Below are 17,531 nucleotides of genomic sequence, written 5' to 3'. Positions count from 1 at the left end.
AGATCAGCTGTTAGTCTGATGGGCTTCCCTTTGTGGGTAATCCAACCTTTCTCTCTGGCGGCCCTTAACATTTTTTCTTCATTTCAACTTTGGTGAATCTGACAATTATGTATCTTGGAGTTGCTCTTCTCGAGGAGTATCTTTGTGGCGTTCTCTGTATTTCCTGAATTTGAATGTTGGCCTGCCTTGCTAGATTCGGGAAGTTCTCCTGGATAATATCCTGCAGAGTGTTTTCCAACTTGGTTCCATTCTCCCCGTCACTTTCAGGTACACCAATCAGACGTAGATTTGGTCTTTTCAGATAGTCCCATATTTCTTGGAGGCTTTGTTTGTTTCTTTTTATTCTTTTTTCTCTAAATTTCTCTTCTCACTTCATTTCATTCATTTGATCTTCCATCACTGATACCCTGTCTTCCAGTTGATCACATCAGCTACTGAGGCTTGTGCATTTGTCAGGTAGTTCTCGTGCCTTGGTTTTCAGCTCCATCAGGTCCTTTAAGGACTTCTCTGCATTGGTTATTCTAGTTAGCCATTCGTCTAATTTTTTTTCAATGTTTTTAACTTCTTTGCCATGGGTTCAAACTTCCTCCTTTAGCTCGGAGTAGTTTGATCGTCTGAAGCCTTCTTCTCTCAACTCGTCAAAGTCATTCTCCGTCCAGCTTTGTTCCATTGCTGGTGAGGAGCTGCATTCCTTTGGAGGAGAGGCACTCTGATTTTTAGAGTTTTCAGTTTTTCTGCTCTGTTTTTTCCCCATCTTTGTGGTTTTATCTACCTTTGGTCTTTGATGATGGTGACGTACAGATGGGGTTTTGGTGTAGATGTCCTTTCTGTTTGTTAGTTTTCCTTCTAACAGTCAGGACCCTCAGCTGCAGGTCTGTTGGAGTTTGCTGGAGGTCCACTCCAGACCCTGTTTGCCTGGGTATCAGCAGCAGAGGCTGCAGAACAGCAGATATTGGTCAACAGAAAATGTTGCTGCCTGATCGTTCCTCTGGAACTTTTGTCTCAGAGGAGTACCCGGCCATGTGAGGTGTCAGTCTGCCCCTACTGGGGGATGCCTCCCAGTTAGGCTACTCGGGGGTCAGGGACCCACTTGAGGAGGCAGTCTGTCTGTTCTGAGATCTCCAGCTTCATGCTGGGAGAACCACTACTCTCTTCAAAGCTGTCAGATAGGGACATTTAAGTCTGCAGATGATTCTCCTGCCTTTTGTTTGGCTATGCCCTGCCCCCAGAGGTGGAGTCTACAGAGGCAGGCAAGCCTCCCTGAGCTGCAGTGGGCTCCACCTAGTTCAAGCTTCCTGGCTGCTTTGTTTACCTACTCAAGCCTCAGCAATGGTGGGCGCCCCTTCCCCAGCCTCACTGCCACCTTGCAGTTTGATCTCAGACTGCTGTGCTAGCAATGAGTGAGGCTCCGTGGGCGTAGGACCCTCCAAGCCAGGCGCGGGATATAATCTCGTGGTGCGCTGTTTGCTAAGACCGTTGGAAAAGTGCAGTATTAGGGTGGGAGTGACCCAATTTTCCAGGTGCTGTCTGTCACCCCCTTCTTTGACTAGGAAAGGGAATTCCTTGACCTCTTGTGCTTCCCGGGTGAGGCGATGCCTCACCCTGTTTCGGCTCACGCTCGGTGCACTGCACCCACTGTTCTGCACCCACTTTCCGACACTCCCCATTGAGATGAACCTGGTACCTCAGTCGGAAATGCAGAAATCACCGGTCTTCTGTGTCACTCACGCTAGGAGCTGTAGACTGGAGCTGTTCCTATTCGGCCATCTTGGCTCCAACCCTTATAATGCCTTAAATTAGAGGAGTAATAATTTGTGTGATATGCTTGGAAAAATCCTGTGATATAATTAATGCTCAGTAAAGGTTAGTGACTAATATTGTTATTCTCGTTATTTTGTTATTGGGATTTCAGGGTGTGGTAGTGGCTGGGTCCATGTGAAGAGGTTTCAACAAGTCATGAGGCCTTGCTGGTATGGCTCAAATTCCTATCGCTAAATATTTTATTGTACCTATGTGTAATGACAGAGCTAGGATTGACAAATAGTTCCTTCTTTGTTATATTAACCACTGCCCACCGACTTCTCCTGGCCAAGTTAGAAATTGCTCTTAAACGAATGTCCAAACTTCTCAGCCTTTTGTGAGACATCTTGTGTGGTTGGACTCCTCTTTAATTCTCTAAACTTCAGTTCCCCTGCACCCACACACAACTTTCTGTTCCAGTTATGCTTATCTTATAAACCTATACCTTAACATGTTATGTTAGCTGATGTAACAAAAATGGGAATTTTCATTTGGAACTAAGGGAGTAAACAGGGATCTACATAAGGGGGTGGTGGTAGTTGAGGAGTGGGAGATCCAGGAGTGAAATAAAGCACTGTTAAAGTCCTCCATCATTATGCATTCCCTATTTTCTAAATAGGGTCACATGGTGATTATCTGAATTTCCCTTTACTTTTCATCAAGCATGATGTTTCCCAAACTTAAAGACTAAAATTGTTTTCTGAACCCCACTGATGTCTTGCTTTCTCATAGAGCAGGGTTCTTTTCCTCTGTTCTTTTAACCCTCTTTGTGGTTAGACCAGATAAGGCCAGGGAGGGTACTCTTCTCCAGAGTGAAGCAGGGTTCTTCAGGGACCAGAGGCAAGCACCAACTCTGTTAGTAGAACCAACAGGGACAAGACCCTCTGGGAAGACCTCCTAGCACTGACAGATGGGAGGTGGAAGATTTGGGCATGCTTCAACAGGTTCAGTCTCTACCTGAAGTTTTATCCAAGGACAGTTATAAACTGCAGAAGTCTGGCTCATTTGTTGGTCCACACTTTAATGAATGCTATCAATCAAAAAGCATGCTGCTTGCTTATAACTGAGTTTATTGTTGTCTTCCTGAAATGATTTCTTTGGCTGTTCAGTCCCCAAACAGAAATTCATATTGGAGACCATATAGAAAACACTGTTGGGTTTTTTTTTTAATTTTTTGTAAGAGGGCAAAATTGGCCCATCTGTTTTTCTCCCTGCTCACTTGTAGACATGGAAATAGTCAGACATACCACTCATCACGGTTTGGGCTTGTTCCAATGCATTATGCTAGCCAGAGAATCTTACCTCACTTATTTCTGAAGATGGTTTCCTTTTACAAGGAAACTGCTTTGGGAAAAGGTCACATTCCGGTAACAGGGGTTTCTCTGATAGACCCAGCTGAGTGAAAGGGTATAGGATATGGAAGTCCAACCCCAACAGCCATGCATACATCTCTGTGTGCTAAAGGGTGAGTTGTCAAAGGCATTTCTCTCCATTTGCATGTGCCTTATCCTGACCTAAAGTATAAAGCAGTTTCCTCATCTATATTAATATCTTGCCCTGGGAACTCCAGAGAGTTCTTGAAAAGATCAAAAGTGATAATAATTGTGACTGTCTTTGCAACCGGAAAAAGCTGTACAAATGTAGGGACTTGGCTAGAAAACCATAGAATCTTAAGATTTGATAAGAGTTTAAAGGTTAGCTAGTCCAATCTTTTGTCCTATGCTTTAAAAAATCTGTTGTTTTATTTACTTAAAGATTTACAATCATAAATAAGCATTAACTTGGGGGCAATTGAGTCATTCAAGGTATTCAGTCATTTATTGAATACCTTGCTATTTTTTCAGAAGCTGTTCTAGTACTATAGATGCAACAGCGAATGAAACAGACAAGGTGTCTGCCCTCATAGAGCTTAAATTCCAATAGAAAGAGACCCATAGTAGGTAAGCAAAATAATAGAGATAATTTCTTATTGGGATACATGGTATGCAGGGAATTTAAGTAGGGTTATATGATAGAACAACCTTAGATTAGGTGATCAGGGAAGATTTCTCTAAGGAAGTGACACTTAAATTTAGTTTTGAATAAGAAGAAGGAGACCTGCTGCAAAGACTAAGGGGAAGAACATTCCAGGGAAAGGAGATAGCTTGTGAAAAGGCCCTGAGGGACAAGGTATGTTTGAGGATGGATGTGACTAGAATGGATTTTGGGAAAAGGAAACTATAGATGTAGCCAGGGATCAGATCATGAAGGGAATTTTAAACATACAAAAAGTATTTATATTTCATTCCAAATGTGATGGGAGGTTTTAAACAAGGGAGTTACATGATCAGTTATGAATTTTAATAAGAATCCTGATATAGTTTGGATATTTGTTCCTGCCTAAATCCCATGTTGAATTGTAATCCCCAATGCTGGAGGTGGGGCCTAGTGGGAGGTGTTTGGGTCATGGGGGCAGATCCCTCATGGCTTGGGACTGTCTTTTCAATGAGGAATTCTCACGAGATCTGTTTGTTGTAAAGTGTGACACCTCCCTCCCCACGCCCCCACTCTCTTTCTCTTGCTCCTGCTCTAGCCATGTGATGTGCCTGCCCCCGTTTCACCTCACACCATGAATAAAAGCTTCCTAAGACCTCCCCAGAAGCAGATGCCAGTGCTATGCTTCCTGTACACCCTACAGAACCATGAGCCCATGAGCCAATTAAATGTCTTTTCTTATAAATTACCCAGTCTTAGGTATTTCTTTATAACAATGCAAGAATGGACTAATACAAATCATCTGGGTGCTGTGTTGATAAAAGAATAAAAAGAACAAGGGTAGAAACTGATAGTGGTTAGAACGCTATGGTAATTGCATATTTGTTCAAAATTATTTGTTTCTCCCTTGCCAAGATATTCTGTAGGCTGAGTATATTGTCTTTCCCCATTAACTTTGTGCTTGACCATGTGACTTAATTTGGCCAATAACATGTGAGAAGTTGTAACCTATATCCTTTCTAAGCAGAGCTTCAAATTCACTTGTAGTGGTTTGGCTCTGCCAACCCTGAGTTTCTGCTCTCCACCATAAGAATAGCATGGTTTTCAGCCTAGGTCCTTAGCAGACATGTGGAGCTAAGTTGTCCCAGGATAGTCCAGCAGAGTTCAGTTGAGCTGCAGCCTTCATGGAGCTTGAGCAAGAAATAAATATTTATTTCTGGGAAACCCAGAGATTCTGGGATTGTTTGAGCCTACCAATAACTGGTAGCAGTGGAAGTGGTGAGAAGTAGTTAGAGTTTATATGTATTTTCAAGACAGAATTAACAAGACACTGATATTTGCAAGCTGTGGGATCAAAGAGAAGTAAAAGAGTCAAGGATGACTTTGGAGCAACTGGGTGAATGGGGCATCCTTTATTGCAACGGGGAAGACCTGGGGAAGAGGAAGTATAGGTGGAACCAGGAATTCATCTTTGGCCATCTGTTTTGTTTTTGGAGATGGAGTTTCATTCTTATTGCCCAGGCTGGAGTGCAGTGGTGCGATCTCAGCTCACTGCAACCTCCGCCTTCTGGTTTCAAGCGATTCTCCTGCCTCAACCTCCCAAGTATCTGAGATTACAGGCATGTGCCACCACACCCGGGTAATTTTTTTTTTTTTGGTATTTTTAGTAGAGACAGGGGTTTCACCATGTTGACCAGGCTGGTCTCGAACTCCTGACCTCATGATCTGCCCATCTTGGCATTCCAAAGTGCTGGGGATTACAGGCATGAGCCACTGCGCCCGGCCCATCTTTGGCCATCTTACGTTTGGGGTGATTATGGGAGATTTGTATATAAATTTGTATATAGATCTACTTGTGCCTCCCAATAGATCTTTATTTTATTTATTGTTTTATTTTACTTTACCTACAAAAAGAATATTTGGTAGCTTACACTGAAAGTACTGGTAAAAGCATTAATATGAGGGGATGCAGAGGGAAAATTGTATTGAGAAATTTTGGCAGAGGAAAACTGCAATTCAGTATAATTAGTTTTGAGCTTCTTAGTAACCAAAATGAAGAAGCAAAATCAGTGAGTTATAAAACTCTCATTTTCTGGGGCAGTGGTTCTCAATTTTGGCAGCAGAGTATAATACTGTAATTTGGCCAAGCACATTGTGAATGGTGACCCCTGGAACTGCAACTCGATGGTCCTGCCCAGTGCCCACTCCTAGAAATTTGAATTTAAATGGTCTGGGAAGGAGCTGGGATGCAAATAAATGTGTTTACTATTAGGTGATTCTAATATGCAGCCAGAATTGAGAATTACTAGTTTTGCAGAAAAAAGTGTACCCATTGACATGGAAAGATAAACTTGTTCCCGAGCTCTAATTAAATTTGTCTCTGGCATTTTTATGTAAGAGGTATTGAGGTATGTAATGGATAATGATACAGACAGCAATTTCACAAGTGATACAGAAGACTTCCTTCTTTGCAGTTTATTATATGTACCTTAAGTGAAAACTGTTGTGATGTTAAAATTATACTTGCATAAAATTAGCCCTCTACAAGACAGAGCGATGGAATCCAGCTATGCAGCTTTCTGGCAATTTGGCTTAGCACAGTATTAAGCTTAGGGAATCATGAAGAAGAAAGGGTTAATGCAATCCTTATGAACACCAATAGTTTCAGCAAGACTTTGTTAAGTTTGGCCAGAAAGTCACTCTGGAAGATTCCTTAGGGGGCTGAGCCTTTTGGCTGGCTCTTTCCCCCTTCACTGAGGCCTCCTTGTGGTTGGACAGGGAGTGTTTTGTGTTCTCCTTCCCTTTTCATTTTTTCACTCTTATGCTTTCCCATGCCAAGCAGGTTTTTCCTTTGGGGGAAGACACTTAGGCAGAGAATGAAATTAAGAAATAATGTAATGATGATGGTGGTAATTCTTTGCACAGCCTAAGAGCAGTTGGCTGCTAATTGTAGAACGGTAATAAGGGGGGCCCTGGGCCATAAGGTTTGCATTTGGAACACCTGTAGTTTTCATTTAACATCATGGATCATTAAACAGCTGCTCAGAATGGCCTTATTAAAACAAATACGGTTGCACTGTTTTATGCACGTGTTATATTGCAGTGAGCAGATCAGATGCAAACAGGATTCTGTAAAAAAAAAAAAAAAAAAGACACCTTAAGCATACTCTAAAGGTACTATCCCACAAAGACGAATGTAGCTGAGTATTTTTCTGCCTTTATGAAACTGAAAATGATTGAACTTGTTGGATTTTGCTTTAAAACTTCTTGCTGTGGCTGAGGGGCATGGAAAGTGTGCAATGAGCATCTTCTATGGGGGAGGCGCTCATTGAAGTCACTGGCATGCTCTAAAACTGGCCTGACAGTTGTGTTTCTCTCACTGAAAAAAAGCAAAGTGTGCTATCCACTGTAATGTGAATATGACCTTCTGGGATGGCGGAGAGCTTTCCAGGGATTTTTCATCACTGGGGATGTGTTTGTTCTATGTTATCCACACTGACACTGATATCCTCTTATAAGTTTTATTACACACTTGTAAGATGACTAATTAAAATTAGATACTGAGTTTGTGCCCAGGGTCAGGCTGCAAGCAAAAGTTGGGGTGTAGAGTTTTTCTTTTTTTTTTTTTTTAGAGACAGGGTCTCACTGTGTTGTCTAGGCTGTAGTACAGTGGCGTGATCATAGTTCACTGTAGCCTTGAGCTCCTGGGTTCAAGCGATTCTCCTGCCTCTGCCTCATGAGTAGCTAAGACTACAGGCATACACCACCACTCTTAGCTAATATTTTTAATTTTTGTAGAGATTGGGTCTTGCTATGTTGTCGAGGCTGGTCTTGAGCTTCTGGGCTCAAAAAATCCTCCCACTTCAGCCTCCCAAAGCTCTGGGAGTATAAGCATGAACCACTGTGCCCAGCCCTAGAGTTTTTCTTGATTTTAAAATAATTGGCCTTTGGTGGAGATAATTTTCTAATTATTTTTCAAAAGATGTTTTGGATGCTTCCAGATGCAAGATGCAGTTTGGATAGGCACATGGTGTTTTTAGGTATATTTTATGAGAATGACAGTGAGAAATGTATGGTGTGTGTGTGTGTGTGTGTGCACATGTGCACACATGAGAGAGACAGCAAGAGAGATATCCATCAACGTTACACTCCAAATATGGATTAATCCTAGAGAAAGTATGATCCATCAACATCAAGCTCCAAATGTGAATTAATCTCTTATATAATGACACAAATTTATGACCATAAGTGACCCTTTACATCTTATAGTAATTCTATGCAGGAATCTTTTAATAGATATTATTTGTGGCCTTAATTTCATTAAAGGGCAAGCACCATACCCCATGTGCCTTCCTGCAGTCCCAAGTGGTCTTCAGACTAGAAAAGAGATCTTGGCAAGGGCGGTTTCTTGGTGGTCTGAATTACAGTTACTGTAAAGAAAATTAGGGGCAACGACATAAATTTTGAGCAGATGAACTTGACTTGCAGTATCCTCCATGTGCTTTCCTGTCTTATCTCCCCTGTAGATACCCCTTCCTTGCTCGGGTGCCTTGCTGCCCCAACCTATTTCCTGGCTCTGGACTCTATTGTCAAGTCAATCATTGGCAAAATTGTTAAAGCTAGCAGTTTGTTCTTGGTGTTCTTTACTCCCGCCGGCAGGCTTCATTCCTTTCTTTCCCTTGATGGGCCAGCCTTTCCTCTTTTTCCCACTCCCTTGCATTCCCAGAGAGGTTCCCAAACCTCTTCAGATTTCTTCCATTCCACCCCTGTCAAATCTTGCTTTTGGAATGATGGGGAACCGCTGCAACATGAGGGGGAAATGACTGATGCAGCTAAGTGCACTGCAGCAGGAAACCTGACTTTTAGCTAATGAGATGAAGTATTACCATCAGACATTGAGTCATATGCTAGTTGGAGGTGAGGTCAGGGGTAGAGGGGGGATGGAAGAGTTTAGTTCCTTCCTGTTATATTCTGAGATCAAATCACAATAAGTGAGTGGTTCTTTTCTGTGTTCTTCTCTTATTGGACTCAGCTTTGAACCTACCAGGCAAGAGCCTAGACCAATGGTAGGCTCTCAATAAATATCTTTGAATGACTGAATGAAGCAATGGGCAGGAGGGTCTTTTGCAGATAACCTCACAGTGGTAGCTCTGTCTATGTTACAAGCTAGACCCTGAACATAAAGAGAAGCACCTCCAAGCAGAGAAATATTATGCTGCCCAGAGCATTGTCCAGGCCTCCAGCTTGTGGTCAGGGTTCACTGAAAGACACTTCTTTGCTGAGCATTATGGCCCTCAAGAAGCATCTGATTTCTGTTCCATCATAGTTGAAGAAGAATGGGCAGAAGCAAGCTTTTCCTTCCATTTAGGAGAAGCAGCAGCTTCTTAAACCCACTTTCAGATTGCCTTAATCCAGCCTTGTTAATAAAGAATCTAATTTACCTGGCCTACTCCATTTTCAACAGACCTACTGGGATTCCAGAAATATTGGAAGGAAAAAATCATGTTCGTTTTAGTTCTGATTTTTATTTGCATGGAGACTAACTACTTTCAGGTTTTGCCTGTTTCTTTCAGGTCTTGAGTCTTTGGCTTCAAGCTAATTTGTATAAACGAAAATTCAAAGTACACACACACACACATATACACACACACGCACACACGTACCCCTACACCTTTCAGGCGAGCCAGGCCCAGGTCCGTGATTCTCCTCCAGGTTTCTAATCTGCAAGGCATGACTTGACTGCAAGGACAAATGTACAAAGACTCAAACCACTGGTGTTCCCTTCCCGGTATGTTTCTCATCACTTCTGCCTTAAAAGTTCTAGGGCATTTGGGAAATGCAAGATTGACCACTGAGAAAACTCCTGCTTCTGGGAGTTACTGATGAACTCCCAGAGAGACATGTAAATAAGGTGTGTTTGCCCATAAGGAGATTCTTTGATCCTTAAAGTATTATAAGCAAGATTGTATTTAGATAATGTTCTACAAGGAAAATTAGTTATTAGCTTATTCATTTTTTTCACTCTTTTACTCACTCCTACCAGACTCTTAATTGAGCACCTATGCTACAAGGGAGAACCTTGCAAACACGAGTTATACCCTCTGGCCTCTGGAAGTCCTCTTCATTCTCTTCTGCCTTGGCAGAAAAGTTTGAAAAGCAGTGCCATCAGATACATGAATTCCCTCTAAACAAGTGTGCTGGCTTCAACTTATTCCTTTAAGGAAATAAATGGCTGGGGGAGAAAAATTCAGATGTAATACCCCATTCTTATTTGGGATAATTAAAATAGAAGACAGTTGCCATTGGTGACAAGCCTGATTTAGCGTATAATTTTTAGAGAACTAAGTTTTATTTCTTTCAGGTGTATGTAATGAATTAACTGTTAAAAGAATATGGGTAGGTAGATGTCTTGGCATATCTGTGATTAATAGGTAATTATTTTATTAAGATATTTTTATAATTATAAAAATAATGTATGCACTATATAGAAAGTATTGAAAATATGAAACAGTTTAAAGAAACGAAGTGTGGCTGGGCACAGTGTCTTATGCCTATAACCCCAGTGCTTTGGGAAGCCGAAGTAGGAAGATCACTTGAGCCCAAGAGTTCAAGACCAGCCTGGGCAACATAGTAAGACCCCATTTGTATAACAATAACAAAAAAAGAAATGAAGTGTATGATTCCAGCCCTCAGAAACAACTGCTTTTAACATAGGTCCACATCCCTTATCTGGTCCTTGGAGCCAATTGTGTTTTGGAATTCAGATTTTTTCAGATTTTAGTAAGGTAATCAAATATGTGTACTGTAGATCTTATCCTCAGTGGAACGTGGGGCAGTGCTTCATAATCAAACACAATAATATTTTTGCAGTAAAACATATAAATGTTCACTCTAAGCCAGATAAATAAAGACCATAAATAACCTCACAATTTTGCATTATCAAATTTTGATACCAAATGAGTTATAAAAATCTTTCCATTTCAGATCCCTTTGTATTTTGGAATTGCATATAAAGGATTGTGGACTTGTATTTTAGCATAACATTTAGACAATTTCTAAGCATTCATGCATGGTTGGGGCATCAGGGCCCTTGAGCAAGGAGTACCTACAGGGGAGAGGAGGCAAAGTACATACAGGATACTGTAAGCCAACTTCATCTGCTCAAAATTTGCATTGATTGCTCCTACTTTTCTTTATTGTGACTGTGATTCAAACCACCAAGAAACTGTCCTTGTGAGGCATAAGAGGAGTTTAATGTACACAGAGATTTGTGTTTTTCATACTGATAGAAGTATATTTAAGGGATTGGGGTCCTGTGCCTTCAAAAGGTGCCTGATAGCAAGGAAATGTGGCTCAAAAGGATTTGCCTGTATACACTCTTGTTGTCAGGCCTTTGATAGCTTTGGCCTCAGTTTTGCCCATAGATGATGACTCTCACATTCGTCCACTTGGATCTGTCATCTCCTGCTGGGGGTGACCCTACATGTGATCCTGCCTCTGCTCCCAATTATCTTTAGCTCAAAGGCCAGATTGTGACAGCCTGCCCATGCTCTCCAAGCAAACAAATCCCATCCTATCTCTGGTTTTGTTTTTGCAAATCTATTTTGGCATTGACATTTCACAGCGACCCTGCCCTGCTCTACTTGGTCAAGTTAAGACAAGCATGACCTGAAAAATGGTTGAGAAAAAAATAGAGGTGAAGGTTAAGTGCATGCAGCGTCCGTTCAAATCGAAGAGATGGCTTGAGAGGCAAGTGTCAGAAATTAAGCAAGTAAACAACAGAACACTGTGAGCCATTGGTTTGTAACATGACAGCTGCCTGTCTGTGCCTCTTACTGTGTCTGTGCTCTAGATTTCAACATTCTACCAGATAATGAACATTTTGCAGAAGCAAATGTCAGAACTCTTCTATGCAAGCAAAGACAGGAAATTTGGTGAAATGATAACTAATGGATGAAAAAGTATTGAAAACCTATAATTACCTGTGATAAGCAATATGTTATGCTTTCTTTTCTCTGTTCTAAATCTGCCACTGCAGTTTTTCTTGTCTAATGCAGTATTTCAGGCAGGCATTGCTTTTCAATTATATATCTCAAGCTGAAGTTCCTGCTGACGGGGAGAACGAAAGCACATTTTGGTTATTATGTTTTTCCTTCCCTTCCTCATAGACTCCAAGTGCCTATATGCTAATAGAAACCCAAATGACAGGAAGTCCAAATGGAAATGTTATTAGAAAGCTATGGGTATGTAGTTAATGAAATATGTATGATTGCAATAATGCAGGACATGTGTAATATTGATGGGAACTCAACTGATCTCAATATTTAATAAAGGCTTAATTTAAAATATGGATATTTGGGGGAGTGGGTTGTTTTATTCTTTTTGCAAACATGGCATATGTTAATTTCTTGCTGAGAATTTGTCTGGTGGATTCAATTTCCTTCTGTAATTTCTCGTTTTGAATATTCCTTTTTTTTTTTGAAAGCACACTTCCATATGCTGATCTAGACTGTTATTCCTGAATGTCCTTGGATGAGAGAAGGACTAATAATATGTTTTGAGGCAGTCTGGAGCAGCTAAATGAACCACTAATGATTCCCTATGGTCTACTATAATTGGCATTTGAACCTACTCTTTGAAAATTTGGGCCAAGAATTAGCCTTAGACACTGTTCTTAAAGAAGCCTGAGGGTGTTGTTGTGGTTGTGGTGGTGGTGGTGCTGGTGGTGGTGGTGGTTTGAGACAGGGTCTGGCTCTGTGGCCTTGGCTGGGGTGCAGCAGTGCCATCTCGGCTCACTGCAAACCTCCACCTCCCAGGGTCAAGTCATTCTCCTACCTCAGCCTCCCCTGTAGCTGGGACTACAGGTATGCACCACTGTGCCCTGATAATTTTGTATTTTTTGTAGAGATGGGGTTTTGCCATGTTGCCCAGGCTGTCCTCCAACTCCCAAAGTGCTGGGATTACAGGCATGAACCACCTCCACCAGCCAGAAGCCTGAGTTTCTAGTTTAGGCATTCGTTAAAATGGTGGATCCTAGGAAATGAATTTATGCCGGCTGAAATTGCCTGTGTAGTTACTGGATAATGTACTTGCAGATTGGTTGAGCTCCAGTCTTTTTCGAATGCCAAGAAAATTATAAGCTATAGAGATTATTAATATTGAACAGCAAAGGGGGATAGACAGACAATTGGAAACTGTAATCCACCAAAACTACTGTCTTCTTGGATTTATGAAATTATTTTAGTGTCATGTCTTTTTCAATTCTTTGCCCTTCTGAGAATTTACACAATTTAAACAAAGTGTTAATATATTATTTTGCGTCTTTTTTGCCCAACATTTTTACATATATGCTATTTTTTTTCTTACTAAGACCCCTGTGAAGAGAGATCTGTGTATCCATTTTAAAGCTGAGAAAACTGAGTCACAGAAAGGTGAAGTAACTTTCCCAAGGTCACCTATGGAGCTAGAAATGGTAGGGCTGGGATTCTAAGTTAGTTCTGTCTGTATGAAACAGAAAATGAAAAATGATTAGATCCTCAGGTGTGCAATATAAAATGATATGAAGCAAGATAAATAGAAGAAACAATTTAAGAACTGGTTAAAATTTGTCTTCAAGACTTATTTACCCTTTGTGGCTTACTTCTTTGTGAGACCGAGCCTTGGACTAGAGTAGAGAATGTGGATGACTTGGTAACAGCCATCTCTATGCTAAAGAACCAACTTAAAATGAATGTCCTACTAATACGCAGTCATGGGGATCATATCCAGCTGTGGGACATAGCACTTTTTTTTATCTATGAGCCAGACTAAGTACCTTACACTGGTGCTGGAAGAATGATTATGCTGCCCATTCATTTGCTTAGGGTGAAGGAGCATGTATTTCTAATCAAACAATCTATTTATTTGCCCATTGAGAGAGTGGGATGGAAGGAAGAATGATTATGCTGCCCATTTGTTTGCTTAGGGTGAAGGAGCATGTATTTCCAATCAAACAATCTACTTATTTCCCTATTGAGATAGTGGGATGGAAAACAAGTTCATGAACAGATGCATTTTGTGTAGCCTATTTTCTGTGTTGTATAAGGATTACCTATCAGGGTGTAGGCTGTGGTGAAATACCACTCTGGGAGACTCTGGGAAGCCAGAGGTGGGATGGCAGCTTTAAGTGTGTATGAAAGCACTCAAAGTTAAGAGCTTTATCTTTGATGTCAGGTTTCCTGAATTGGAATACCAGCTTTACCATTCAATAGGTAAAATTCCTGAATGTAAATTTGCTCAATTACAAAATATGGATAAGAAGTACTTTCCTAATAGAGATTTGGGGAGGATTGAATATGTTATTACATGTAAATACTTAGAATGGTATCTGGCTCATAGTAAGCCCTTAATAAATGTTAAATGTTGGCCATTATTCCTTTTAGCTCCTGTATGCTGATCTGGACTCTGGTATTCCTGAAGTATGGCTCAAAATGGAATGCAGTTGTCTCTTGATATCCTTGGGGGATTGGTTCTATGACCTCCTGTGAAGACCAAAATCTGTGGATGCTTAAGTCTTTGACATAAAATGACATAGTATTTGCATATAACCTGTGCACATCCTCCCATATGCTTTAAGTCATCTCTAGATCACTTATATTACCTAATAGAATATAAATGTTATGCAAATAGTTGTTGTAATATATTGTCTGGGAAATAATGACAAGAAAGAAAAGTCTGTACATGTTTAGTACAGATGCAATTCTTTTTCTTGAATATTTTCTACCTGTAGTTGGTTGAATCCAGGGATGTGGAACCATAGATGTGGAAGGCTGACTGTATATGGCTCTTTAGAAAAAATGGCATTGATCTAATTACATCAAAAGCATTTTGAGGAGTGTTTTTCTGTCTCTAAGAACCCAGCCAATGAGATGACTGACATCTCCTATGACATCTAGTTGGGTTCTGTATTTATCCCATTTTTTATGTTCCTTTTCCTTGGGTTTGTGTGTGGTTTTAGGACCCCTATTGCAATGTGTCATTTCTGTCCTGGAATTGATAAAGAACATGTTCACTAAATATGCCCAAGTGGAAGCAGATTTTCTAGAAGTGCAGTGACATGCATTGAGAAGGAAATTGATTAGCCAAAGACTTTAATTGACTTGTCTGAGTTTGTCATTTTAATTATTAGGTTTTTAATGCTAGCAAGTCAGTTAATAGTACCAAGAGAACAACTGCTATTGTCAGGGAGTAAATAATGGTAGTATAGTCACTGTAGTGTGAAGGTTATTTTTGTATCATGTTTCATTGTGCTAGCCTGTCTGATTTATGGCTGTAACTAGCTGGCCCTGGCTCTGGCCCTATCTGCTCACGCAGTGATTTTAAGCATGTCTTTCTCAAAAAGACCCTGCCAAAGTATTTATGGGAGTCTCTAGGGGTTATCTTATATGAGCTATGAATTAGCCCGACCACCATCACTGCTACTGCTACTATGCCCCAGACTCTCTGTGCTGCTGCCTTGCCAGCCTGCTGTGCCCTGCTGATTGTCCTGGATATTGATGCTGTCAATCCTTATGGAGCAATGAGACCTTGGTAGTCAACTGCAAGGTCAGAAGGGGCATCAGTTCCTCCTTCCTGCATTATGCTTCCTTAGGGAAGTGTCATAGCGTGGCCATTTGGGTCCTGGGGTGTTGCAAAGTTTAGTCAGCACATTTGCCTTTTACTCACAGTCTTTATATCCCAGAGCACACATTTGCCCAGTCAGAGGACTTGGGCTGAGATGTCCGAGAGTTTTTTGAAGGACAATTTTGTTGAATACAGAATTCTAGATGGTGTTTTGTTTTTCTTTTAACACTTTAAATATTTCACTCCGTGCTTTTCTTGCTTGCATGGTTTCTGATGAGAAGTCCAATGTAATTCCTATCTTTGTTCCTCCATACATAGGTAAGTTGAATTTTCTCCTCTGATTTCTTTCAAAAAATTTCCCTTGTCTTTGGTTTTCTTCAGTTTGAATATGATATGCTAACTTGTAAATTTTATATTTATCCTGCTTGATATTTTCTGAATTTCTTGGATCTGTGGTTTGGTGTCTGCCATTAATTTTGGAAGTCTCAGCCACTATTATGTCAACTATTTCTTCTGCTCCTTTCTATTATAGTTATCTAGATATTTACAATTACTTGGCTTTTCCTTTATTCCTGAGGTACCAAGTTTCTTTTTGGTATTATTTACCTTTTTTTCTGAAGAAATTCCTTTAACAATTAAGAGCAGGTCAGATGTTTATGAATGTATTTTCCTTTGAGATTCCTTTTAAAACTTTACCTTCATTCCTGAAGGATATTTTCACTGGACACAGAATCTGGGATGACAATTATTTTCTTTCAGCAATTTAAAAGTGCCATGCCACTTGCTTCTAGTCTCCATCGTTTCTAATGAGAAATCTACAGTTCTTCATAACACTGTTCCCCTATAGGTAATGCAGTTTTTGTTTTCAAGATTTTTTTTTTCATGTCTAGTTTTTAGAAGTTGAATATGTTGTCTCTAGACATGCATTTCATTGGATTTATCCAAACTGGCTCTTCCTCCTTCTTGAATTTATAGGTTTATGTCTTTTGCCAAACTTGAGAAGTTTTCACCCATTATTTCTTCAAAAATATTTTTTTATCACTCCACTATTTTTCTTGTTAAATCTTTCGTTGCTATCCCACAGGTCTCTGAAACTCTATTCAATTTAATAAGCCTTTCTTTAGTCTCTGCATTTCATAGTAGGTATTTCTTTAGAACTATCTTCAAGTTCACAGAATCTTTCGTCTTTTTTCTTCATTCTGTTTTTGAGTTTAGTGAAGTTTTATTTGTTATCGTATTTTTAGTTCTAAAGTTTCCATTTGGTCCTTTTTAAAATATATTTTATTTCTTTGCAGGTATCTTTGTATTTTTTGTTTGTTTCAAGTATTCATAATGGTTCATTTGAGCTTATAATAGCTTCTTCAAAATCTGTATCAAATAATTTCAAAACCTGTGTCTTCATCTCATTACTGACCTCTTGATTGTCTTTTCCTATGGGTCAAGATTCATGTGGTCCTTCATATGCCTAGTAATTTTGAATTGTATCATGGACATTTTGAATATTACCTTATGAGACTCTGGGTCTTATTTAAATCCTATGAAGCATGCTAATATTTTTGTTTTATCAGGCAATTAATGTGGTTCAGTTCAAACCAAAGTTCAAGTTCCAACACATCTGTATGCTGAGATTTCTATGTCAGTTTAATTTCAAAACTTTTGCCATGCTATTTGAATCTGTCCTGCATGTGTGCTACCCACTGGCCAGACTGGCATCTGGGTAGTGGTATATCTGTTAGTTTAGTTCTCAAAGTCATTGGTATGCTCATTTGGATCAGAGCCACACATGCACAGTCTGGGGGTGAACCTGGGTGTTCATAAGCAACTTTTTAGGGTTGCTTTCCTGAGCTCCTCCTTCTCTTCAATCTCCTCAGTACTTTATGGTTTCCTGGGGCTCTCTTTTTTTTGTCTTCTGGCCAGAAAATATCTACTTTCATGATTGTACTATTGCTAGAGCCAAGCAGCAAGAAGGCAGAGAGAGAATACAAAGTAATGGGACTTGGCCCTACTCTCTTGGAGCTGCAGCTTAACCAAATGGAGAGAAAGGTTCCCCTCTTTTAGAGTTTGGCCCCAGCAGTTTTCCAGTACCTGCTGCTGCCACTGTCATTGCTACAGCTGCAGGATTGCCTAGAGGATGGGACACAATAAAAATAAGAAAG

This window comes from Homo sapiens, chromosome X (genome assembly GCF_000001405.40).
Source record: "Homo sapiens chromosome X, GRCh38.p14 Primary Assembly".
NCBI lineage: Eukaryota > Metazoa > Chordata > Mammalia > Primates > Hominidae > Homo > Homo sapiens.
Note: the sequence above shows the minus strand (reverse complement) of the source record.